This window comes from Homo sapiens, chromosome 7, assembly GCF_000001405.40.
Source record: "Homo sapiens chromosome 7, GRCh38.p14 Primary Assembly".
Taxonomy (NCBI): domain Eukaryota; kingdom Metazoa; phylum Chordata; class Mammalia; order Primates; family Hominidae; genus Homo; species Homo sapiens.
Genome location: NC_000007.14, coordinates 25,716,350 through 25,741,940, shown reverse-complemented (window position 1 = coordinate 25,741,940; position 25,591 = coordinate 25,716,350). Strand labels below are relative to the sequence as shown.

Genomic DNA, 25,591 nt, shown 5'->3' with positions numbered 1-25,591 from the left:
ACTTAGGTTGATTCCACATCTTTGCAATTGTGAATAGTGCTGCAATAAACATGCGAGTGCAGGCATTCCTTTGATATATTGGGCATCTGTGGTTTTGTCTGCCACTCCCTCTCTTTCTACTGGGAAATTGCCTTTCTATCCCTGATGGTTCTGGTGACTTGTCAATTACAGAGCCTCATCCCTGGCCCTGGGAGGTAGGCTCATGGTCTAGGCCTGGCCAACTTCAATCTTGCTCTCTCCATAAGGAATGGGCCAGGGCATATGGCCCAAGTAGGGTCAGTTATATCCTTCTATAAAAGCTAGTGTGTGGGCACTGGGACAGATTTGAGATACTTTTGGATGGCAAGCTGTATACACAGAAAGCCTATGACAAGAGAGAATGAGGTCAACATACAAAAGAAGAGAGACCAGTACAACAGAGAGATGGAGAGAGAAAGATAGAGGGAGAAAGATAATTTTCTTATTACTTGAGCACTGTGCTTGAAAAAATTTCCACCCTAAACCCACTTTTCTGCTTGCAATTGTTTATATTGGGTTTATATTGGGTTTAGGGACTAATACACAAGATTTCTCTATTCTTCGGGCAACTTCTTGGCTTTGGCAATCTCTTAGCTAAGCTACGTATCTCTTTCCTCACTTGTAAAGTGGGATTTGTTCTGGCTGCAGTGGTGGGCACACAGTCCCTCTTAGGGAATTTTTGTGGAATGAATGAAGTACCTAACAGTATAAGGGTAGTTAGTAAGTATTGGGCTTAACTATGTGAAATCACCACTATTTGACCATTTTTGACTACAGAAGAAGCAATTTCACATGGTTAAACTAATAATATTTTCAGCTACTGAGAAAGTAGCCACACTGTCAGTTAACATTTGTTGAGAACCTACTATGTGTGGATATTGTGTTAAGTGCTGTGAGGGAGTTTTGGATGGAGAACATAAGGTCCCTCTTCTCAGGGAGGTCACAGCCAAGTGAGGGACCAAGAACTTACTGAGAAAGCACTGATTATAGTGTTGGCCTCACTCCCTAAACTAATGAAAAAATTAGTATTTTTTTAAAAAAAGATTTCTTATTTATCAATGAAATGTCATTTGTACAATTTGAGAAGGATCTTTTTATAGTGTCAAATTCGAAGAAGAGTTCTGTTGCTACACTTCCTAGAACTCCTTTGCTTGCAACTTCTGTCTTCTTTGAATCCTTTAGAAACTGTTACACTGCAGCCCCCAAAGTCAAGAATCAAGGAAAATATGGAACATAATACAATATGCCTTTTCGTTTGGTCTCTGTGCTGATTCACCCCACCTCCATGAGAATTTTCTCCTTTCTTTTTTGTTTTCATTTTTTGAAATGGAGTTTTGCTCTTGTTGTCCGGGCTAGAGTGCAGTGGCGTGATCTCGGCTCACTGCAACCTCCACCTCCTGGGTTCAAGTGATTCTCCTGTCGCAGTCTCCCAAGTAACTTGGATTACAGGCACTCGCCACCATGCCCAACTAATTTTTTTGTATTTAGTAGAGATGGGGTTTCACCATGTTAGTCAGGCTGGTCGCGAACTCCTGACCTCAGGTGATCCACCTGCCTTGGGCCCCCAAAGTGCTGGGATTACAGGTTTGCACCACCACGCCCAGCGCTGAATTTTCTCCTTTCATTCCTTTTGTCTGGGAAAGAACCAACTCAAAATCTCATCTGTTGCTGCATCAAATCCCCAATTCACACAAGCAGAGGGTGAAGAATAATAATGGCGCATAGCAGAAGAATTACCGAAATTTTACTGTGACTTCAGTTTATGCATAACTGGGTTCTCCAACTAGATGGCATCTGAGATGACCTTCTATGCTTCCTCTGTCCATATATCTTGATTTAGATTTCCAGACTTGGTGCAGCAGTGATCAAGCAGTGATGATTTATTCTAAATATCTCAATTTCAGAGTGTTTGCCCACCAATTCTCCTCCACATAATGTGTACCTAAAAACATAGACGAATTGCCCAACTCAGGCCAGTTTTTATCTCATGTAGAAAAAGAATTCCCTGCCGGGAGAATATGGTTATATTAACCTTCCTTGAGTGGTCATTTGCTCAGCCGTCCGGTTGAGGACTTGTTGGACCTTACAGACTGCTTCCCAGAAAGGAATACTTCTCAGCTTTAAAGAAATGGATGGTTTCTTCCTTTCTTGTTTATTTTAAGTGAGGCCTCGCTTTATCCTGCTCACTTCTTTCACTTAAAGAGAAAATCACCTTCATGTGGAATAACTTGCTTCTTTGCCAAATCTATCCAACAAAATAAGGAACCTTGGGAACGTACTAGTGGACCTATAGAATAGGGGCTCTAATTTATGAAAGATGGACTTACAGAGCAAAAAATGCATGTAGTAGAGGCCATTGACACTTGCACACAACCCTGATGTTTTAATTTATCTTCTGCAAACAAGAGAGATGTTTTTTCTTCTAGGTGAACATAAATACAGTAGTTGAATGCAGTCTAAACTGTGATGTCAAGCTGCAGAGCTCCTCCAGTGTTGCCAAACCCTTGTGCTTGTGCACACACATTTTATAAGGGGCACTCTCGTTGCTAAAGGAACTCAGGCCACTTTTGCGTGAATGCCCTGTGATTGGCAGGAATGCTGGCTGTTGTAAGTATCATATTGTTTGGCAGTGGAGAATATTTTTTATTGCTAGTTCAATAGCATTTCACAGTTATTAAACCAGAGTCATTGTTCCTGGGGGCTCCCAAAGGCTTAGAAACTTTGTGGCACAAAGGAGAAAAATACACAGGCACAAAACCTGTCAGTTATCCTCATTGTTCCTCATTGTTCTAATGCGGCTGTTATACGCTTGGCTTTTAAGGTATTTGGGGAGAAATGTTGAGAAAGTAGCTTTTCAAACATATTTATGGGCAACTTGTTTTCATAAATAAGAATTTGTGGGACCAAATTCAATCATAAATAGTATTTTGAATTTTTTAAAATTGGAAACTTTTATGGAATGATACACCTATATTATTACAACTGCACATCAAAGCACATTGATTAAAGATATGTTCACGGTATTAGCAGATATGGCCAAATATCCCATAAACTCCAAGATAAATGCCTGCCTGAAATCATTAATAGGGCCCAAGTAAAACGCTCTAAGAAGGAGATGAATGGGTGTGACTAGGGAGGGAGCACATATATTTCTCTACAAGTAAGAGCTCCCCCAGCTCATTTGGCAGATAATGAAAATATCCTGCAAGTGAGCGGGGTGGATGACCTTGTACAGCTGGCTGGTGTTAGTGACAATTGAGGACTTGCTGGGAGAAAAATGGCAGCCTAGTGGACAGTTTTCCCCTTCGATAAACCTCAGTTTTAGGATGAGGACAGAGTGCAGGGTGCTAGGCTGTTTCTGCAGGGCTAACAGGGGACCAGCACAGTGTACTCATATGGGTTGCCCGAAGTAGGAAACACTTAGGGTCTTTTGCAAACACTCAACTTTCTGGGAATTTGACTACTTTTTTTGTTACTTCTCCTGAGAGCACCAAGCCAGGTCCTGATGATTTTGCTCTCCTCAGCTGATTGCGTACTTTGTGTATTGCTTTCTTTTCCTTCTTCCGAGCAGTTTCTCAGGCCCCGAGGACCACACTGACACTCAAGTCAGTGGATGCACAATTAATCTTCTGCTGAAAGAAAAATGTATTCTTATTTCTTTTCAAGTGTGGCTGGCAATAACTGGGCGTGGGCAGGAACTTGTGTTTACCTGAACAGAAACAGAAGATGTACGACCTCTAAGCACTTCTGTGGCTTAGCTCTTCCACCAGTCTAGGGCTGAATTCTGAGATTCTTTTTCTTTTCTAGAATTGCAACTTTAGAGGAATATACCCCATGGGCGATATTGTGGCTGATGAGTTGATGGTGGTTGCGTTGGTCCTCATGTCTGGTCATGGTTTTCTCCTTCTCTTTGTAAAAGGGGAAATCTACCCCAAATTCTTGGATGTTTCCTCCATTTATACTTTCTTCTCCATGCCTGTCTTCTCCACCCCAATTCCTGTCATTTTGTTTTCCACCAAGGGAAGTTAAGGTTCCTTAACTGAAGATTTGGTAGGCTGACTTCTCCCTGTGATAACTGTGAGAAATCATTCTCTCCTGAAGGTGGAATAACTCTTCCTCACATCCATTATACACATGCTGTATAATTAATCTATACATTTCTAGTCCGTATCTTATCTTTTTTTCTCCAAACTCTCCTGCATCATTCAAAAGGAGTTTGCCAGTCTCTGCCTTCTGTTTTAATATTCAAAAATAGAGAAATCTTTAAGGTTACTTCTAGGCTGAATCAATTAAACTACTTTTTAATAAAGAACTTATTTGCTGGGGTTTTCTCATTAGCTATACAATCTCAGTTTTGCCAATGTCTAATCCCCTCTTCCTGTTTCTATATGCTCAAGGGGTATTTTGTGAACATTTTTGATTAAAATGGATTAGTATCTCATCTTAAAACAACAGCAACTGATAGGCATGGTGGCTCACGCCTGTAATCCCAACACTTTGGGAGGCTGAGGCAGGTGGATCATTTGAGGTCAGGAGTTCGAGACCAGCCTGGCCAACATGGTGAAACCCCGTCTCTACTAAAAATACAAAAACAAATAAAAAATTAACCAGTGGTAGTGGCTCATGCCTGTAATCCCAGCTACTCGGAAGGCTGAGGCAGGAGAATCATTTGAGCCTGGGAGGTGGAGGTTGCAATGAGCCAAGATTGCGCCACTGCACTCTAGTCTGGGCGACAGAGTGAGGCCCTGTCTCAAAAAACCAAACCAAAACAAACAAAGAAACAAACACAGCAACATCTTCTCGTTGAAAAAAATCTGGAAGGATATGAATCGAAATGGTAGCATGGTTTTTCTTTGGGGGATTTGGGTCATTTTCCCCCTTTTTAATACCTTTCTGTATAGTGCAAACTTGTACTTACACTCAGACAAAAAGAGGTATTTTACTAACACCCCTCTTTCACAAGCCATTCAGCATTGTGTTGATTTCTTAAGGAGTTATTTGTAAGGAGATTGTGCCTCCAAAGAGGATCTGAGGGTTGTCTTTTACTTACATTAGTGACTCACTTTGAGCAACTCATTGGGTTAAGGCCTCAGATTTTCTTGTGTGCAAAATCAGAATAACACCCACTTGCAGGAATTATTAGAAGCTAATGAGGATATGTGTAAAGTGGATACATGGATACATGTAAAGTGCTATCTATATAGGAGGAATAACAATAGTAATCATTTGCTCAGTGGGAATCAGTGAGCCAGACTTAGGCCAAGGAATCTAAGACAAGGGAATATCAAAGAAACACGATACAGGTATTTTACGTGTGTTAGCATGGACAGAGGAATCTTTTCTTGGAGACTTCAAGTTTGTGCAAGCATTTTAATATTCTTAATAGCAGCTTCTAGCACTGTTTTGTGAAGTGTGTGTGTGTGTGTGTGTGGGTGTGGGTGTATGTAGTGGCAACCAAAGTACCTCAAATGCAATATACAACATCAAATTACATGTAAAAGTAATTGTCATAGCACCCATACAACCTTACTAGCCGACTGGTTCATGGGTTTTAAAACACTGGTTTATGTGATGCCAGGTGTTTGCCACAGAAAGGTAAAATTACTAAAAACAGAAACAGAACACAGAAATAATAGTCTCTCACAGAACAGCCAGTGAACTCACTAGATAAAACAGCTATTCTGGGAACAGAAGCTGCAGTGGAGTTTTCCCACAGCACAGCAGTGGAGATGATGAAGTTCCTGCCTGGAAGCAGAAGCAGGTAGAAAAGAGAAGTGAGCATGGGAGGAGGGATACAGTCACGTGCTGCATAGCTGTGTTCCGGTCAACCACAGACCACACTTATGACAGTGTGCCGACAAAACTATAATGGAGCTGGAAAATTCCTATTGTCTAATGACATCATAGCTGCCATAAGGTCCTAGCACAAAATGCATTACCTTTTCTGGGTTTGGATATGTTTAGATACACAAATCCTTACTACTGTGTTACAATCGCCTACAGTATTCAGTACAGTAACATGCTCTACACGTTTGTAGCATGGGAGCAATAGGCTATAGCATATAGGTTGGGTGTGTGGTAGGCTCTACCATCTAGGTCTGTGTAAGTACACGCTATGATGTTCACACGATGATGAAATCGTCTAGCAATGCATTTCCCAGAAGATGTCCCTGTCATTAAGCCATGCCTCACTGTACCTTGAAAATCCCTGAACACACTGGACACCCCTGGGTCCTGGTGAAGATGCCCTGTCTGCTTGGATTTAGAACCATTTTCAACTCATCTCAAGTACCAGGAGGAGCTGCTCATCTTGTAGATCTGGGCTGTTCAGCAGTGAAGGGGTTACGTGTAAGGGTGATCAAAGATTTAAACTGTCATGTCGACAGTAAGCCGAGGAACAGGCTGTGCAGGGGCCTTAATAAATCTGCCCTTGACTTATGGCCGAACCTCATTCAGCAGAAAATTATTTCTGCAGCATATTGAATGCTCTGCTCTGATGGAGACAGAAATAAAAAGAAAGGTGGAAATGGGGAGAAGAGAATGGAAATTCAATCCACATGTGGTGGAGAGGACTCTTCAGTAAATTCTTTCTCAGATGAAATAAGAAACAGAATGTGTAGGACTCTTGGAATAGGGTACATTCCTTTGATTACTAAAATGTCTTAGGGGACGAAAACGGACAAGCAGTGATTCTCAGAAAAGATCGATCTGGAGGATGGGAGTGGGGAAGGAGGGGGCAAACCTCTCCCTTAGTGATTTAGACATGATTGCTCATTTATTTATTTGTTTAGTCAATCAGGCTTTATTGAATGTTTACCTACTGTGGCCATTGAGATGAGCAAGACATCTTAAGGAGTTTGCAGTGACTGAGTTAGAGCCACATGTTCACTGAGCATCTAAAATGTCAGGCACCAGCTCAGTGCAATACAGCACAACGCAGACACACCTCTGGAACCTTCTCTGAGTCAAATCTGAGACTCTGTAGTAGGGTTCCAGGTATCAGAGGAGGGTCAGCAACTTTTTCACAAGACATTTCCCCAATTCAGTATAAGGAATAGGGGCTTCATTAATTGGAAAGGTTGATTTGGGAAAAAAACCCAGTCCCTTTCTCAGATGATATGGGATTTAAATCTCTTATTGCTTTTCCTTAGGATATTTTAGAAAGAGAAGAAAGGGTTAAGATTGGGGGCTTCTGTATTTTTCAGTCCAGTTTATAAAAGTATGAAGGATCCTTCCAATCCCAGACCAGAGAAAATTTGAATTCAAGAGATAATTTAGGAGACAGAACTCCTTCTCTTTCCACCAGTTCTGAAACTATTGGGAAAAGCTCAAGAAAACGCAAGAAAATAATCCAAACATTTCCTCTTCTAAATAATTTATTCACTGTTTTTTTTTTTCTTCCTATACTTTCATTCCCAGAGCTGTAATGAGTTTTAGAAACACAAGGTGTCAGATATTGACTTTTTGTTGTTGTTGAGTTCTCTAAATTCATGACCCCTCTGGGCATTCTAGGCATAGATAATATATAATTCAAAGAAGAGAGCTGCAGCTTTCATCTTCTCTTTCTTGTAAGTTTTGGAGCTTTTTGTTCAAAGGGTGATCTGTTCTGCTGCAGTAGAACCAGCCCTGTTTCCAAAAGTTTTGGCAGAGGACATGGTGCCCTGTGGTACCTTAAGGCTTTGGGAGACTCTCCCTAACTGGGTTCCATGCTTCTGTGAGTTGGAAGTGTGGATTCGTCCTGTCCTGTCCAAGGTTGGCTCTGCTGTTGATCTGCACCAAAAACGAAGGAGAGAGAGCAAGATAGAACCAGCTAGCTGTCTTAGGGAAAGGGTTGAGGCAAAGGCCAAGGCCATGTGTGCAAATGAAGATTCTCATCTGCAAATGAGAGTGGTGGTTGGATGAATTGGGGTAAGGAAGTCCAGGGGTTAAACGGAGGAATTTTGCTGAAGATAATCTCTCAACCTTCAAGAAACAAAGAGACAATTAGCCCAGAGATGGCTCCACAAAGGACTGGATTACCAGTTCACAGAGCAGGGCTAACCACTCCAACATGAAGTATTCCAGAACGGTTTGTCTCTGAGTGGGTTGTGTGTCTGGGTGTCCTTGATGGGGAACCAATTCATAGATGCTTCTGTGACTTTTCTCTAGCTCTATCTCTTGAGATGTTGCTATCTCTCTTTCTGAGAAAGGAAAGTTGAACTCCGAGTTGCCTGAAGAGGACAGGGGCTGTGGTTATCTCCCCAGGTAAACCTTGGGAGAGCCTTGGGGTTTCAGAACTGAAGAGGTTGATGAAACTGACTATGGCCAAGAAGACTGACTACTACTAATCAGCTCCTCTCCTCATGTTAAATAATTAGTAATGTATTATTGAAATATATTATTCATAAGCTCAATTTAATATCTTTTTGTGCACACATATATATATTTAGTTTTTATTTTTCCTCTCTCCTTCCTTTATGTAGTTATTAACTATTTAACTATATAAATAAATTTCATCCTAACAGGGCATTCTGGCAAAGCATATAGTAATATAGATGCAGAGAACCTTGTGATTACTTATGTCACTCTGGGTAAAATATGTCATCACTCTATTCCTGGCTTTCCCCATTTGTACAAAAAGAGAACACACCTCTTTTACTTTTCTCAGTGTAAAGACTAAGACGATCTAGTGTGGTAGGAGTTACTAAGAAATTATTTTAGGCAGATAGAGAGGAAAAAAGGGGTCCTTGGAAGATTTTTCGCGGCTCTTGTCTAGCATGAAAGAGAATCCTGACTCTTAGACCCCAGCTGGCAACCTTTGATATGCAAATGCAAACCGTTAGAAACTGGATCCACCCAACATGGCCGGCTGGCAACCTTTAATATGCAAATGCAAGGCGTTAGAAACTGGGTCCACCCAACATGGCGATTCCCACCGTTGCCCTCTTACCCTTGCCCCCACATGTGCCTAGCAGCATGGTTGCCCCCACATATCCCCAGGTGTGTGGAACATCATGGCGCCCTACATTTGCATGTTAAAAGACTAGGGTGAGAGAGCCAGTTTTTTCACGGTCTACGTGAATGACATGCCTTGTCAAACCAATCCCCTGAGCCCCATGCAAATCAGACACCGCCTCCTCCAGCCATCGAATATAGCTAGTTGATAGCAGGGTTCCCTCTCAGCTTTGGAGCCCTCCCTCCCTCTGTCTCTGTACAGGGAAGCTTCTTCTTTCTTTCTTCCCCCTTCTTTCTTGTCTATTAAACTCTCTGCTCCTTAAAACTACTCCATGTGTGTCCGTTTCATTTTTTCTAATTCTACTCGAGATGAAGAACCTGGTGTTCTCCACTCATCAGAGCCCTGTCACTAGCTCCTCACCCCATCTCCACTAAGACTTGAAGTTCTTCGAGAAGCTTGTACAGAAGTAAAAATAAGGATGATTTTCTTTCATTTTAATGACCATCATTTGGCTACTTTCATTTAGAACTGGAAAAAAATCTGTAGATACTTGATGATTTCACGAATAGTTTAAGCATTATGATTTATTTGGATTCCTAACTGAGGAATAAGTTCACCTTGTCTCTCTAGGAGCCCACATAGCTCTTTGTGCCCCATCCTGCCATCCATGTGCCCAGATGAGATTTTCAAGGACTTTTCTTGCTGTCCTTGAGAGGTAACTGTTAGGAAGTGTCTGGCCAGCGATCGCTGCGACTGAAACCCCTTTCTTTTCCCTTTACCCTGGATGGTCTCCCCTTTCCTTACCTAAGCCAGATTTCCTTTCCTCACACTTGAATCCAGAGTTCACACTGGAGAAAAGGGTTGGAGAAGTCAGAGGAAACCTTTGACAAATGCCTTGGGGTGAGGGGTGAGTAGGAGGATGGAGAAGCTAAAGAAAAAAGAAAAAAACAACAAAAAAACCTTAGGCTAAGAATGAGGAGGAGGAGGCAGCAGTGACCTGGAGGAGGCTTTAGATATCAGTTGCTTTTAATGTTCCTGATTTAACCTGAAACAAAGGAGACCCGAAGCTTTTAAAAGAAAAGAAAACCATGGAACTGAAACAAAGCTGATCAATTATAAGGGAGGGTGTTATATCAATATTCACCATGTCAGGTTATTCCATCCTGGGAGGTGTAATGAAAGCCCCCGATTGGCTTGATTAAAACTCAGAAGAAGATGAAGAGAAAGGAATGTGTCTGAGTACAGCTGTTCAAAATGCAAACTTGTTTTTTAGCTTGGTATATCTAAGATTGAAACATCGCCAAATAATTGCTGGGAAAGTATTTGGTTAGGTTTCAAAAGACTGTTTAAAGAAACTGACTAGCTGTAAAAATGGAATATTCGGAATGGCTGTCTGGGAAAAATAAAATTAAGAACTGGAAAGACGTGCTCCATAGGCATAAGGGAACAAAAAACAGTGTAGAGGAGGAGATGGTATTTTGTATTTTTAAGGATGAGAGTGAAGGTGTCTGAGCAAGAGTTAATTTGCCAAGTTTTGAGTTGTGAATTTTTTCCTTGCTGTGGTTTCCAGGAAGGATTAGGACTTTAGTTTTTATGCAAAGTGGCATCTTATTATAGAACAAAAGGTGACAGCCTCGAGTTACTGTATCTAAAATCTGGAATTCTGCTTCAGGCATTCATCTCGCATCTAGTTAACTTTAGAAATAAAATCAGAGGGAATTTGGCCCTCAGGTTATAGGGCTGGAAAATGCTTTGAGAGGCCTTCTAGTAGGATTACTTCTAAACTCGCCCTGACAGATGAAAATTTATCTTATTTTTAAATGTTCCCCAGAGGAAGAGTGTCCACAGACTTCCTTAGTAACTCATTCTAGTTTTTAACGACCTCCACATTCAGGAAATTCCTTCTTCTGTCTTACCTAAACCACTCGGCCTCAGTTTAAGTCCATTTTCTTTTGATCTGCCCCAGTAGAGATGGAAAAAAGTGGGTCACCATTTTGCACAAACATCCTTTCACGTAATTGAAGATTAATTTTTAAAATCCAAAAAGTTCTCTATCTCCTCTTTATCTCATTGAATCTCCCCACTTCCTTTAGCCTTCTTTCCCTTGGTAGTTCCATCTTCCAACCTGTTATCCACATTTGCCGTTGCCTCAGACACTTCCTCTGTCATCTGAAGCCCATTTTGTAGGCTGGGAGAGATGGGAGAAAGTGGCAATGCACATCTCTCCTTATTTCTTTGGGCTGCCTGTGCTGGAACTCATATAACAAGCTATATATTGGCCTGATAATGTTTAAAGATTTTAACATTTTTCTTGCCCACATTATAATTGTTTTCAAAGTCAAATTTTGCTCACACAGTAGTTCTGTGGGCATTTACAGAGGCATATATTATATCTTTAGGTTTCAGAAGGGCAAAACCAAATTATGGCAATACGTTAATGTAATATACTAAGAATTATTCAGTATAGGCCGGGCGCGGTGGCTCATGCCTATAATCCCAGCACTTCGGGAGGCTGAGGTGGGTGGATCATGAGGTCAAGAGATCGAGACCATCCTGGCCAACATGGTCAAACCCCGTCTCTACTAAAAATACAAAACTTAGCTGGGTGTGGTGGCACGTAGCTGTAGTCCCAGCTACTGGGGAGGCTGAGGCAGGAGAATTGCTTGAACTCAGGAGGTGGAGGTTGCAGTGAGCTGAGATCATGCCACTGCACTCCAGCCTGGCGACAGAGCAAGACTCTGTCTCCAAAAAAAAAAAAAAAAAAAAAAAAAGAAGAATTATTCAGTATAATGCAAAAAGCAAATTCAATAGTTGTTCCTAGATTAGAAAAAAAAGTTTTTGCCCAGGAGGTCTTTTCACTAGGTATGAGCATTTCAGTAAATAGCCTCTCAGCATTGCCCAACTGTTATTTGATATTTTCCATGAACTGGTTTCTTGGGTTGAACTCCTGATCTTTCCCCTAGTTCTTGGTGATGAGACCCTAGAATCTAATTAGATATCACATTCGCCAGCACTTTACCCAAATGCTTCCAGGACAGGGCAAAGTCTCGATGTGTTTTCTTGGGTATCAAAGCTGTTGGCTAAACAAAGTAATGGATTTTTTATAATTTACTTTTGCTTTAAATGAGGTCCTATTATTATCTGTTTGCACAGTTTCCAACAGGTTTAGATATTTGGGGATCAGAGAATCACTGACATGGACATGACTTTACAACTGGCATTAAAAAAAATTTCTAAAGAACTCTAAAAAGATTTTGAGACAGTTTCAGATTTCCCCACAGTTTTCAAAACATGGTTGTGAAGGTTTAAATGGGAAACAGGTGCTTTTAAAAATCAATTGATATTTTGATGAATCATGTGTTTACTTGTACTTGTGTCTTAGCAAAAGACCGTGGAGAAAATAAAAACATAGAGAAAGCAGGCTACTTGTCAATCATTCTGTAGAATGAGTTCATAGCAAACCAGGGCACAGTGCTACATTGGAAGCTGGAGTCCTAGAGGCCTCATGTTCCTCTGATTTTATTCTTATTCATTAGAGGACACCTATCATGGGCCAGGCAGTAGTCTAAGCACCAAGGTTACTGCAGAGAATAAAAAGAGACAGAAGTCTTTGCTCTCAGAGAACTTACATTTAATTTTGGTTTTATACATTTATCTTCTCCAGGATCTATTAGAGTTAGAAATTTTTGTTTAAAAAAATTTAAAAAAGAACTTTACTTTCAAAAATGCATCCCTTATTTTGCAGCCATTAAAAATTATTATTTATGGAAAGGGTATGGTAATGCAGCAAATGCTTGGTGGGTTACCATACTAAATGACAAGAAGGATACAAAGTTGTATATGCAATTTTTCCTAAGTCAAAACTAAAATCAACAATATAATCATCCCCTTTTACACACACACACACACACACACACACACACAAGTAAAGGCTACAAAGAATATGCGTGCCAAAAATACAACAAAATTTTAATGGTGCTTGTGTTTCAGTAGCAGAATGATGGGCAATTCTTTTGCTTTTTACTTTTCTGCATTTTTTTTGTAGTAATCATATATTACTTTAATAATAGAATGACACATGTTCATTGAAAGAAAATAATTCCTTTCAATCTTTAAAGTCTTTAAAGTTTTGCAGTCTCTCATTAAAATACACCTGGGATGAATCAATTCTTAAGCCATCATCAGTAAAGACTTGAAAGATACACACCTGGGGAAGACAGACACCTCCAAAAGGGAGGAGCCTGGAAGGAAGCAAAATCAGATTTCAGTCCCGTCGCACTTTTCCTTGTCCTGGGCAGCTACCTGGCAGCAATTTCATGTTGTTCTTTCAATTAGGGATAGAGTGAAGACATGATCATTTGGTAAATGCGTTAGGCATTGTATATTGCATTCCATTTAACAAGTGAGGAAATGGCTCGGTGGCACTATGGAGTTGCTTAAAGAAAGTAAGAAGTGTAGTGAGGATTCACAGCCAGGTCTGGAGAGAGGCGATGAACTGTCTTCCCTGAGCTTCCAGAGATGCCTCTCAGACTTCAGGACAGCTTTCTGAAGGTTCTGGGGAGGGTTGAGATTTGGCAACCATGTGCCTGGAGTGATCAGGGCAGCCCTGATTTAAAAGAAATGACCCCAAGAAGGGTCAGTTGTTAAATATGTAATCCAATATGACTATAATTTTGATAGCTTTGTCAGAGGATTTTCCATCAATTCATTTATAAATTGGAAAAATACCTTTCCCAGACCACTTGCCTAGTTTTGATTGAGAAAATAGAGTCACACTGCAGATGATTCTTTTTATTTTTACTTTTCATAGAGTCAGGGTCTCCCTGTGTTGCCCAGGCTGTCTTGAACTCCTGGGCTCAAGCAATCTTCCCACCTCGGCCTCCCAAATTGCTCAGATTACAGGCGTGAGCCATCATGCCCAGCCAATAGGGTCACATTGGATTGCAAAAGCAGAGAGGAGAATGTGGGGGTCTAAGACATTTTCTCAAGGTGGAAGGCATTATTAATGTGTGTGTATATATTTATTTATTTATGTATATGTGTATATATATATATATTTATATTTATTTTTTCCAGCTTGAGTTCAAGATTTGTGCTGAAGTCTCTTAGTTCCTGCAACCTTAATATAGTCAGAGTCTCTAGGACTTGCTGGGTTGTGGGTTTAATCAGAATTCTAGGAAACATGAGAAGTATTTTCTAAGGTTTGTCTTTGAAGGACCAGAGGCTATAGAGTGACCCAGCTAGCATTTTGTTTACTATTTTCTTTCTTAACCTAGAGGTCTGGGAGGTAACTGGCCACTATATTGGAGATTCTCTTATTTGCTGCTCTACAGGAGGTAAAGTCACAGAAGACTGAATCAATTGGTTCAGCTTTCAAACATCCAGAGGTCACTGCACAGCATGCGGTGGTTGGTAAACTAATATACTTTTTATTTTTGGGACCCAAATAAAATAGCTGTTTAGCACACTTAATGCTGGCCAGTCTGGAAGCCAGGGCTCAAGAACTTTCAAATTCCCGATGTCAGAATATATGAAAGCATCTTAGCACCCAACACTTGGATAATAAGAGTTAAAGAGAGAGCAAAAGCTTCATGGTGAATTTTTCTTCTTCTTTTTTTTTTAATAAGAGGGACACTCAGTGAAATTTTTGCGTGAAAATAAGATAAAGTTCTATTGTTCAGCTTTTAATGATAGCATGGAATTCTAAGTAAACATGGATGAAATACAACTTGTCAGCACAAAAATACTGCCTGTCATAGTCATTTGTGTATAAAATATGACCCGCAGGTTTGAACCATATGGTTACATGAGTTCTAATTTACGTGGCATCTTCTTAAGTCAGCAGAATGCGTCCTGACCTGCCTGGGGGAGGTGGAGTCAGCACCTCACCCAGTGAAGTGAGAAGGGATCCCCTGGGGTGAGGCCAGTTATGGCTGTTGCAGTGTAGATCAGAGAATTGCAAGGCTAAAGGGAAGCCTCCCCAAGACAACCAGAGCCCTTGCACGCAGTGGCATGGCTGACCAGGCTGTCCCTACAATCAGCTTTCAGAGTTGGACGTGTGAAATTGAAAAATATTAAACATCACAGCTTGTGACTTAGCTGTTCCTTCTGTTCCCACTGTGGGGGAAAAAGTAACACAATCTCCCCTAGACGCGATTGTGAGAGCGGACATTTGGATGCCATTTTAAAGCAATGTTTAATGAAGTGAGAAAATGCATTTGCGGTGTTGTGCTCTGTGGCACATGTACGCAAGCCCAGAAGTGCACAATGGACACATTTTGTGATTTAGACATGAATTGGAAAAGCCAAGGAAATGCCATCGAAATAAAAATCAGACTTGAAAGTCTAAGCTGAGCAAGAAACAGATGTACTTTCTGCTACTTAAAAAAGAAATTCTTCTGTCCTCTCCTCTCTTCCCCCAACAAGCTGTGCCCTGTCACTGTCTTAAGATGACCTTTCCACCGGGTCTTTCTGAGATGCTTTTAGAGAACGGGTTGGGGCATGTGACTCTTGACCTTTCTGCAAATTCTGCAAGGAGCCCCAGGGTTCTCCAGCTGCCCTCTGGGTGGTCCCCACAGACGTGGCTGCAGATGTCTGCTCCTGATAAGTCCAGAGACCAGGGACTGAAGACCCAACAAGGGCTCCTCTGGAGGGTGAGGTAGGCAGCAGCCTGGCCTGGAGAGCTAAGGGCTCAGCCCAGAGCAGCTGCTCACGCTGGGAGGCGAGGGCTGCTGGCTTTGGTGTTTTGTTTCTTGGGCAGGTGTGGGGGAGGTTATTCTTGCTTTTAAAGGATTTTTTCCACCCTGCTGCCATCAGCTGACAATGAAATCTTCCTAGAGTTGACATCCAGCTAAAGGATACTATCATCACTAAGACCAAAAATAAAGCTCAGATATTCTTTCTAAGTAAGTCTAAAAGTGGGGATTGAAATTGACATTGCTTTGGAAGAATAAACAGGGCAGCCTTCTTAGGTAGCAACTTATGTTTGGTAGTGTGCAAGGGGAATGACTGATGAAGCACAAATAGAACAGAGAAAATAAGTCTAGAAACTGTTGTTTCAGTTGCTAAAAATGAATTATCAATACAGAGAAGAGAAGCGATCTAAGGCTTATTGAATACACACTAAGTACCAGGTATTGACCCAGGTACTCTCCATATGTGGATTCATCTAGTCTTTACCACAACACTGGGAAAGTGGCACTACTGCTTCTGTTTCAAAGATGAAGACACTGACATCCTCCGAGATTCAAGTATGTGACCTTGTGCATAAAAATAAATGGTTGAGCCACATGACTCAGGATTGTCTGAATCAAAATTCTGTGCTCTTTTCTGCATACTGTCATTTTAACAGCTGGTCTAAATGAATATCAGGTTGTTGTTTAAAATTAAGACCGTATTTTCTTCATTTCCAGTAACAAGTTGGAATTTTTGTGGTTTGAAACAGGGCCTCCTACATGGGTGAGTTTTCAGTAAAAAGTGTATCCCTTTTGGTCCCTTTTGTCCACATAGAGCTATGCTCATGTTGTGTAAAAGCCACAATTTTAGTAATTTTTTGTTCCAGAATCCATCTAGCCCACCTTTTGATTGTCTGCTCTGCGACTTTTTGCTTTCAGATCTCTTGGTTCTTCAACTTCTCTCGGTTTGTGTGGATTCTGTGTCTTGGCTGGTGTTCTATCTCACCCCTGGTCTCAACAACCTGATTTGGCCTTCCTCTTCTGGCACTGATGGGGTGTCCTCGCAGACACAGCTTTCCCTTCTCATGCATGGCCATGATGGGCAAGTGGTATTTGAGCAGCCTTTCTCCCTTGGTTCCCTTATCGGTGGCAGGCATATGGGCTGCCCTTCTCTGCATCATAGCTTTTAGCGCAATGACTTCTTATTTATATAGGAACAGCCTGACAACATAATACGTTTCTGCTTTCTCGAGTAGGGATATTTAGCATTATTATAATATGGTAAAGTTGTCAGGCCATTGAGAAGGTCAAGACCAAGAGTTTCTTGTCAGTTCTGTTAGATAAATATATTTTTAACCTCTGTATCCGGCCTTTGCAGTTAGTTTTGCTTCTTTCTGCCATTGGTATAGCTTTTTACACACAATTGTCTTGGTCAAACCTGAAAGTGCTTCTATCACGCCTAAGATATGAAGGACATGGGCTTTTTGATAAGTCTTTGTTTTTTAAGATGTCCTTTGCTTACTTATCTCTCTTCTTCTCTATGTTCTAGATGATTAAAATTGCCTAAAGGAGGCAGTATGTTGCCAATTAAAAGCCCTACCTTGCGGAGTAGATCAATGGTTGTCAACCTTTTTGCCGCCAAAAACCACTTTCTTATTTTCTTTTCTCAAAGATTCAGATTTAGTCCAAATACTAAATTTCTTTTTCCTATTATTTTTTAATTTCCCAAAGACAAGCAATTATGGCAGAGTGAGATATGAACCCAGGTCTATCAGCTAAAACCTGAAATCTTGGCTCGTCTGCTACAGGTCAAATTGAGGCAATATTAGGTTGAACCATATGAAATTGCCAGTGTTTGACTATTTTTGACTTACAAAAATGAAAATTGTTTGTGGCTCTGCCAAATAATATTGTTGACTGAATTAATTTAATTTCAGACAGAATGAATGCTTTATATGTAAATCAGCCAGGTTAGATTCATCCTGGAAAACATACTAGTTCTGGGAAAACTTTTGTAATAGTAGCAATAACTCTAATACCACATTCCTTGACACTCCCTTCCTTTCCTCCACCTGCCCCTGCTCTGGCCAACCCTTATACTTCCACAGGCTCCTTGGGGTTAGGAGCACTTCCTTGGGAAACACAAAATTTGGTGGATAACATGAATTCTGTCTGATACATATATATTATATATATTTAAATATTTATATATTATATATTTATGTATGATATTTATATATAAATATATATATATATTTTAAGCTTAGTAGTCACACATAATTTGTGTTCAGATAGAATTCTGGGATGTTTTCCTTTTACGTTGTCTAGGTCTTTGTTCCCAGCATGGAGTGAAGGAAAAACTTTCAAGAAGAAAGAGGGAGCATACAGTTGGAGGAAAACCCTCACAACTTGGGGTCGTGCAAACTTTGAGTAAAGGCTAAGAGTGCTTATCATCCCTAACCATCTGAAGCCTTCCTATATGGAAATCATTAATCATCATCGTCACAATCATCGTTAGCACTATCCTCATCCAAATAGCTAACATTTATTTGTCTTATAGCTTACAAACAACTCTTGCATACATTTGATTCTCCTAACATACCTGTGAGATTGGTATTATTAGTTTCCTAATTTTGCAGATGAGTAAATTAAGTGAAGTTCATGTAGTGAGATCCTTGACTCTGAAGCAGCATTGCCCAATAGAAGCTTCTGCAATGATAGAAATATTCTATATCTATGCTCGTCAATACAGTAGCCAGGGCACATGTGACTGTTGAGCAATGGAAATGTGGTGAGGTAACTGGATTCTAAATTTTATTACTTTTTACAAACTTTATTCACTTGAATTTAAATGGAAATAGCCACATGTAGCTAGGGCTAACATATTAGATAGTAGCTCGAGAACCTGTATTCTTTTCTTTGCCATGTTTTCTCTCTTTGGTGCAGGGATTCTGGAGACTGAAAGAAAGGGAATGAATGTAAACTCTAGCATCTTATTTTGATGGATACAAACGTTATCCACCTGAAAGGTATTCCAAGGGGTTACATGAACCTTGCACAATCTCCCTGTAAAGGCTGTTAGACTATGAGATACTCTGATTTTTCTGGCTGTTTAACTATATTGTACCAAAAAATACCTCCAACACAGGCTAAACCAAATTCACCTGGTTTCTTTCTAGCCATATGGTCTTATGACAAACATGACTAATTCGTGCTCTGTTTGGTTTGAATCTTGTTAATCTGCCAATTGGTTAGCACCCATTACAAAGCAGCTTTTATCTGGAGATTCTCATTAGCATGTGAAATTAGTCTAAGTCTAAACTTCATTTTGCCAAATCCTTCCTTGGTCTGCTCTTGAAATAGAGTCTGTTCACAATAGAGGTTTTGTTCCTTGACTGTCAATAAGGTCAGATAATTAGCTTTAAAATTTTTTAAATCAGATATTTACCATTTTTTTTTGCCGCAGTCTAAGCTATGGCAAAGCTAATTTTTTTAAGTTTCACTTCTGCAATAGAGAAAAATGTCGTCTGTTGCCCAGCAAACAAATGATTTCTTATTGTATCAGTTTGGTTTCATCAAAATAATTTTAAAATATTCTTTTGCTAAATTTCACTTGACCCGCTGCTGCTTCTAATTATTCTCTCACCTCTAACATTTTTCGACATTGCCAAAAAACCCCTTGACATTGCTTTTCTGCATTTTCCCACCAGTGATGGAAGGTAACACAAAGAATCAGAAATGGCTGCATTAAAATTTTTAAAAAAATAAAATTATAGTCAGGAGGACAGGTATGCATATGTAGTTCCCTTAATTATTTATGGTTTATTTCTTTTAAAGTAACTTTTTATTAGTTTTTCAAAAACAATACATGTTATTCAGAAAAAATAGAAAAATCAGAAGCAATTATCCCAAGACTTTCTAGAATAAGTAAAATTTTAAAAAGAGTTTTTTGAAAAACTGACATAAGGTGGCCAACTCTTATTTGATCAAGTAAGGACAATTAAAAGACAGAGAAAGAAAAGGAACAGCTTCTCTCATCATCACTTCTATGGAGAAAGGCTATTAGTATACTAAAAATTTTTTTAGCATAAAGAATAATCAGTTAGAGTAAACATATTTAGTTTTATAAAAAGCATGATCATTTCAGTGTCCTTCTTTTTCTCAGTTTTGACCCAGGCCTGGGAAAATGTCATGCTGGAAAGCATTTGTGGACAATAGATACAGAGAAAACATAAAAGTCCCCTTGAATCCCACTTTGCATGGCTGTTCTATTATTTCATTACACTTTATTGGAATAATGATAACTGTGTCTGTGAAAGAAGGGATTTGCATTTTCCTCGGCATTTACTGCTATTCTGTGTCTTGTCTACCTCCCTTTGTAGAGTGTTTGCAAAGCCTGCCTGAAGGTAAAATAAATGCAAGTGAAATGTGAAGGTCTTTTTCCATCTTGTTGCCTCTCCTTTTAAAATATTTAATAGTGCAACCAAGACAAGATGGGAGATAACCTGAGCAGAAAATGTGTGTCACTCAAAGCCCATCATTTTCTCTGTCCTGGCCGTGAATAGTTACTAAGTGGTAGAAGACATTATGGTACACTAGTTAAGAGCTTGGGCTTTGGAACCTGCTGATCTCAGCACAGCTACTCACTAGCGTGGAAAGAATCCAAGTCTCAGCTTTACCATCTATAAAATGGGGATACTTAAGTCTTCCCACCTATTGACATTCTTGTGAAGAGTAAATGTCAGTTGGTCAGCACAAGATCTGAACCATAGTAAGGGCACAGTGAATGGCAGCTATTGTTCGTTTCATCTGTAGGACGCTGGGCACTGGGTGGAAGGAAGGTAAAGGAGCTTTTGTGTTTCTCATTGTGTGTGGTGCATTGTAATTGCTCACTAAGTATCAATACTAATCATCATAGAGAGTGGGTGGACGCTCTTTGGAAAGGGCATGAAGGCTCTGTGCAGGGCAAAAGTCAGATGCTTTTGATGTGCTACTGGGTCATAGCGGGCTTCTTAGAATCTCCAAAGGACTCAAATTTACCTCCTGCCAAATTTCTATGTTCTCTGAGGTGCAGGATCCAGAAAGGAGAGGTTGAGAGAAAGCTCAAGTGTGGGTGGGACTCCCTGGAGAAAAGCCGCCTGAGGAATGCAGGGACCTGGGTCCCGCATCATCAATCGCCTATTGAGAAGGGGTCCCAGATCTAAGATGCTCTCTGGGAGGGCTTGGCTTTCAGAAAAGACAAGTTCTAGAAAGAGATTTGATTGTTGTTTGAGGGAAGGTAAAGATATTTTAACTTTTTAAAATTTTTATCCCAATTGTGTTTTTGTTGAGGGGCAGAGGTGATGGGGAGAGATGGAGCTGGTCACAGAAGGACTGCAAATCCCAAACTACAAGTGTGCTGGGTTGTAGTGGCTCTCGTGCCTCATGTTCTAAATAAGTATTATTTTATTTTATTTTGTTTTTTTTGTCCATTAAAACTGGCTTGGTTTCCTGTTGGAAAGTTTTTGGTTAAAAGATCATTTTGCTGCAGTTAACATTCTCTTCTCCTTCCTTAGACAGGAAAGAATAGCTGGCAGCCTGCAGTGCCCCAGATGGTATTGTTTGAATCTGGGAACAAAGATTGATGAAAACATTTGAGTCATAATTTTGACAAATTATTGAACTCTCCCTGAGCTTCAGTTTTCCCATCTTTAAAATGGGGATAATAATAACACCCAGCTGATAAGGGATTTGGGAAGAACAAAGGTGACAGTGCTGGCCAGGAATGGAGTGCAGTCGCTGAGCAGAGACAGCCCCTAGTGGACATTAGTTGATAATAGGACAAGACAAGTAGAACCAGGCTTGATGTCTCACAATTTATGTCGCTGATTTCTGTCTTCAGACAGCACTGGGGCATTTCCTTTGGTCACAATTTTCTTCCCTTAGGAACTCTCGGGGGCGTGTGCTCCCCTCCCAATGCCCACCTCCCAATCAGAAACAAAACTGGGCTTTTTCAAAGGAACAACTGCTTTCCCTAAGCACAAACTTCAAAAAGTGGTGCCTTCTCAACAAATTTTAGGATACGTTGACTTGAGATTTGTTGTATTTATGGTGAGAAGATATTAAAGAAAGCCCTGAGAAATATGTCAATGGAACATAGTCAAGGTAGTCAAAGGATGGAAACTTTCTTTCTCTTTCTTTTTTTTTTTGAGATGAAGTCTCACTCTGTCACCCAGGCTGGAGTGTAGTGGCGCGATCTCAGCTCACTGCAACCTCCGTCTCCCGGGTTCAAGCGATTCTCCTGCCTCAGCCTCCAGAGTAGCTGGGATTATAGGCACCTGCCACCACGCCCGGCCAATTTTTGTATTTTTAGTAGAGACGAGGTTTCACCATGTTGGCCAGGCTGGTCTCGAACTCCTGACCTCAGGTGATCCACCTGCCTCCGCCTCCCAAAGTACTGGGATTACAGGTGTGAGCCACCGCCACCTGCCCGGGTGGAAACTTTCTCTGTGTGCATTCTCTTGCCTGTCCCTGGTGTGGGCCCTGCTCTCTGGCCGACCTCACCCTCAGCTCATCCCCATTGCTATTCAAACACTGCCACCTTCCTTGCCTTCTTGTACTGGGGACTCATTTTCTTCTTAGGGTTGAGTCATGCCTCATGTGGAACCTGGGGCTATGTAAGCCCTCTCTCCCATAGTTGTAGGAACTGAAGGTAAAATGAGAAAACATGCTAGAAATAAGTAATAAGTGCAAGAAAACAATGCCTGTTAGTAAGTGGTGTCTTTTTTGAGTTTTCTACCCATGTTGATTGATTGTGTGGCACCTTTCACATTTCCACTATTGTGATCAGCACTCATGGAATGGGAGGGTCAGGCTCTGAGATGCATTCTGTGGCTATGCACCAGCATCTGTGTTTTGGTTTGTTTTCACTTTTCTTGTTAAAAGCGAACTATTCCACTATGCAGACAGAGTATGTAGATCTGGTGAACATTTGATCTGATGAACATCTGATCTGGTGAATATTCTGTTTTCCAAGTGCCTCCCAAATCTGGCTGTGTATTAGAAAAAATTGGAGGCACTGGTTTTCAAACAATTCTGGATCTTGTCCTTGAGGATAATTCTGTGGGTCTGGGCTGGGGACTAGGAATGCCTGTTTTTGTCACTCATCCTGGGAGATTCTGACAGGGCCAATTCATGGACTGGCCTTTAGGAACTGCTCCATCGGTGATAGCCACACACACACACACACACACACACACACACACACACACACACTCATTCACTCACTCCTCTGCAGCAGATAATAAATCCCTCCATGGGATCAGAAGCTCAGGGCCTCCCTTTTCCAAAGGAGGCCGCCTGCAAGAAGACTTTGAATGAAAAGAAGCCAAGCCTGGTTCAATTCCCAGGGATGGAATTTAACAATGACTGATTGCTCATCATCTGCTATTTGAGTGTCATAATAAAGACAAATGGGAACTTGGGAAAAGATCTCTCTATAACTCACCTATAGTAGTCAGTGCACTGCACTGTAGACCACAGGGTAGGCTGCTGAGCCCAGAGAAGTGCAGTTATTAATAGGTACGCACTGAGCTTATAAAATGTTTTATTAAACGACAAAATCCTAAACATTATACAGGGTCCTGTTTTGTGGTCCGTATGCTGACTAAATTCCCAGGTGACTTTAATGAGCAAATGGCAGCCCATTAAAATTACAGTAGTTTTGCAAAGAAAATAGGTCTCCAGGGGAGGACAAGAAAATGCACCAGGCTGCTACTGTGTTGATAGTTGTCCCAGGAGCTCCCTTCTCTTCCCCAAAGATTGCTGGTAGAGGAAAATCTGCTGTTCTGAAAAATATTTACCCCCATCTGGCCTGTCCTCCTGTGTCTGAGAGACACTGCTTGCTTTTGCTAATCAGTTCCTAGCCTTGCTGACCTTGAAACAATGAAGAAAACAACACTTGCGTGGATATTTTGCTTAATAAAGAAAACATTTATAGTTAACCACTGGGAAAGAATGAACTTGTTTTTCCATATTGGTATAACGACCTCAGCTTTCTTTCCAAGAGACTATATTGTAAAGCAATAACCATGTACCTCTACTAAGTTATCATATTATAACATAATTTATATTTTCATTATATAAATTATAAGCCTCCTCTTTATATTAGGTCACTAGGAATTTTGCTTTGTTTTGCTCTCAGAAAAGGTGCTGTTTCATGCAGACCAAAGGGGCAGTTTCTGATCTTCTTTCCCCAGATATGCTATGAACATGGTTCCCAGTGTCTTAAGAGTTTATTCCCCGGAGACAGCATCTTGAATATTTCTTTCCAGTGCACATCACCATGCAAGCATCCTTCATACTGAGGTGTGGGAAGAGTTTTTCACAGTATGTGAGATGATAAACCTTCTATTTCAGCATCTGTATGTAATTTACACTAAATATGATGTTCTATAACCCTTGCCATTACTGGTCCCTAAGTGGACCTCAGCCTTCAATGGATGAATGCTGAGAGGCAGCAAAGCTGCATGGACCAAAAAGGGACCAAGAAGGGCAAGGGTCAAGGAAGGCCTAGATTCCTCATTTTTGCCCAGCCTTCATCTGACTGAAAACATACCTCTATGTGCAAGTTTTCTCTTTAAATCACCATAACCCTCTTTCCTCTCTTCCTTTGGCCCTTTTTTTGGTCAAGTGTTTCGTCATTTAGGTACCCTTTAAAACATCACCTCCTTCTGAGGCTTTCTCTAGCCAGCTACTATCACTCCTGTTGCTCCTGCCAATCACTCTTGATTTAATCACTTTCTATTGTATCACCTTTTTATATTTCTGCCCTAATACTTGCCATTCTGTGATATGATCATGTTGGTTTATTTCCTTGACTACTGTTTGTCTCTGCCCATCCCTGTCTCTAGAATGTAGGAGCTGGGGCCTTACATATCTTGTTCTTCATTGCATCTCTAGCACCTCAAACAGTGCTCAGTACAGGGTGACAGACAACAGCATTTGTGGAGTGAATAATCTGTGGAAATTCTTTTTTTAAAAAAACAGAGTCTTGCTCTGTTGCCCAGGCTGGAATGCAGTGGCACAATTTTGGCTCACTGCAACCTTTGCCCACCGGGTTCAAGCAATTCTCCTGCCTCAGCCTCCTGCCTCAGTTTCCTCCTCTGTAAAATTTTTTTTTTGAGATGGAGTTTCACTCTTGTTGCCCAGGCTGGAGTGCTATGATGCGATCTCGGCTCACCACAACCCCCACCTCCTGGGTTCAAGCAATTCTCCTGCCTCAGCCTCCCGAGTAGCTGGGATTACAGGCATGCACCACCACTCCTGGCTAATTTTGTATTTTTAGTAGAAACGGGGTTTCTCCACGTTGGTCAGGCTGGTCTCAAACTCCTGACCTCAGGTGATCTGCCCTCCTCAGCCTCCCAAAGTTCTGGGATTACAGGCATGAGCCACTGCGCCCGGCCACTTTGAAGTATTGTTTGTATTTTGTATTTTTGGACTTGGTGCAGTCCATTGGGAAGTCAGATCATTAAGACTGACTGTGAAAACATATTTTGGCCAAGTTAAGTAGCAAAACCATGGGAGCGGGAGGAAGGTACCTTTCTTTGATGCCACATCACTATTCCTTATAAGATTCCCAGGAAGGAAGGCATGGGAGATGCAGGCTGTGTGTGGTGACTCAGCACTGAGTCTTGCTGAGGGCTCTCGAGGTTCAGTGGGTAAAGTAGGTCAGGGGAGGAATTTGTGGGCTCTAAGTATGACGCTGCCTCTTAGCCTATATTTTACGTGTAGATAGCGGCATGGAGAATGGAAGCCTGGGATAGGAAGTCCACATTGGTGATTCCTTGGAGGCTGTAAGAGATGATGGCCCTATGGTTGAGAGGGTTTAGGAAGTGGCGAGAAGTATGCCAGGTGTGCAGAGCCTGGCCATGGTCCCAGACGGAGGTTCTGCCTAAACTGACTTTACCATAAAATGTCTTCAATG

At 41.0% G+C, this 25,591-nt stretch overlaps 1 long non-coding RNA gene across 8 annotated transcripts in view, besides 2 other annotated features; it reads left to right on the top strand.

Moving 5' to 3' along the window:
* The window catches only part of LINC03007 (long intergenic non-protein coding RNA 3007), a 196,819-nt gene that overhangs the window by 48,179 nt on the left and 123,049 nt on the right, over positions 1–25,591 (top strand). The gene's annotated exons all lie outside the window — the stretch shown is intronic.
* Positions 7,775–8,285: an enhancer, noted in NCBI's record as "NANOG hESC enhancer chr7:25773276-25773786 (GRCh37/hg19 assembly coordinates)". NCBI's record gives its function as "activates a minimal SCP1, AML or CMV promoter by ChIP-STARR-seq in naive H9 embryonic stem cells {active_cell/tissue: H9 hESC(naive)}" and the evidence as "EXISTENCE:reporter gene assay evidence [ECO:0000049][PMID:30033119]".
* Positions 8,553–9,219: an enhancer, noted in NCBI's record as "OCT4-NANOG-H3K27ac hESC enhancer chr7:25772342-25773008 (GRCh37/hg19 assembly coordinates)". NCBI's record gives its function as "activates a minimal SCP1, AML or CMV promoter by ChIP-STARR-seq in naive H9 embryonic stem cells {active_cell/tissue: H9 hESC(naive)}" and the evidence as "EXISTENCE:reporter gene assay evidence [ECO:0000049][PMID:30033119]".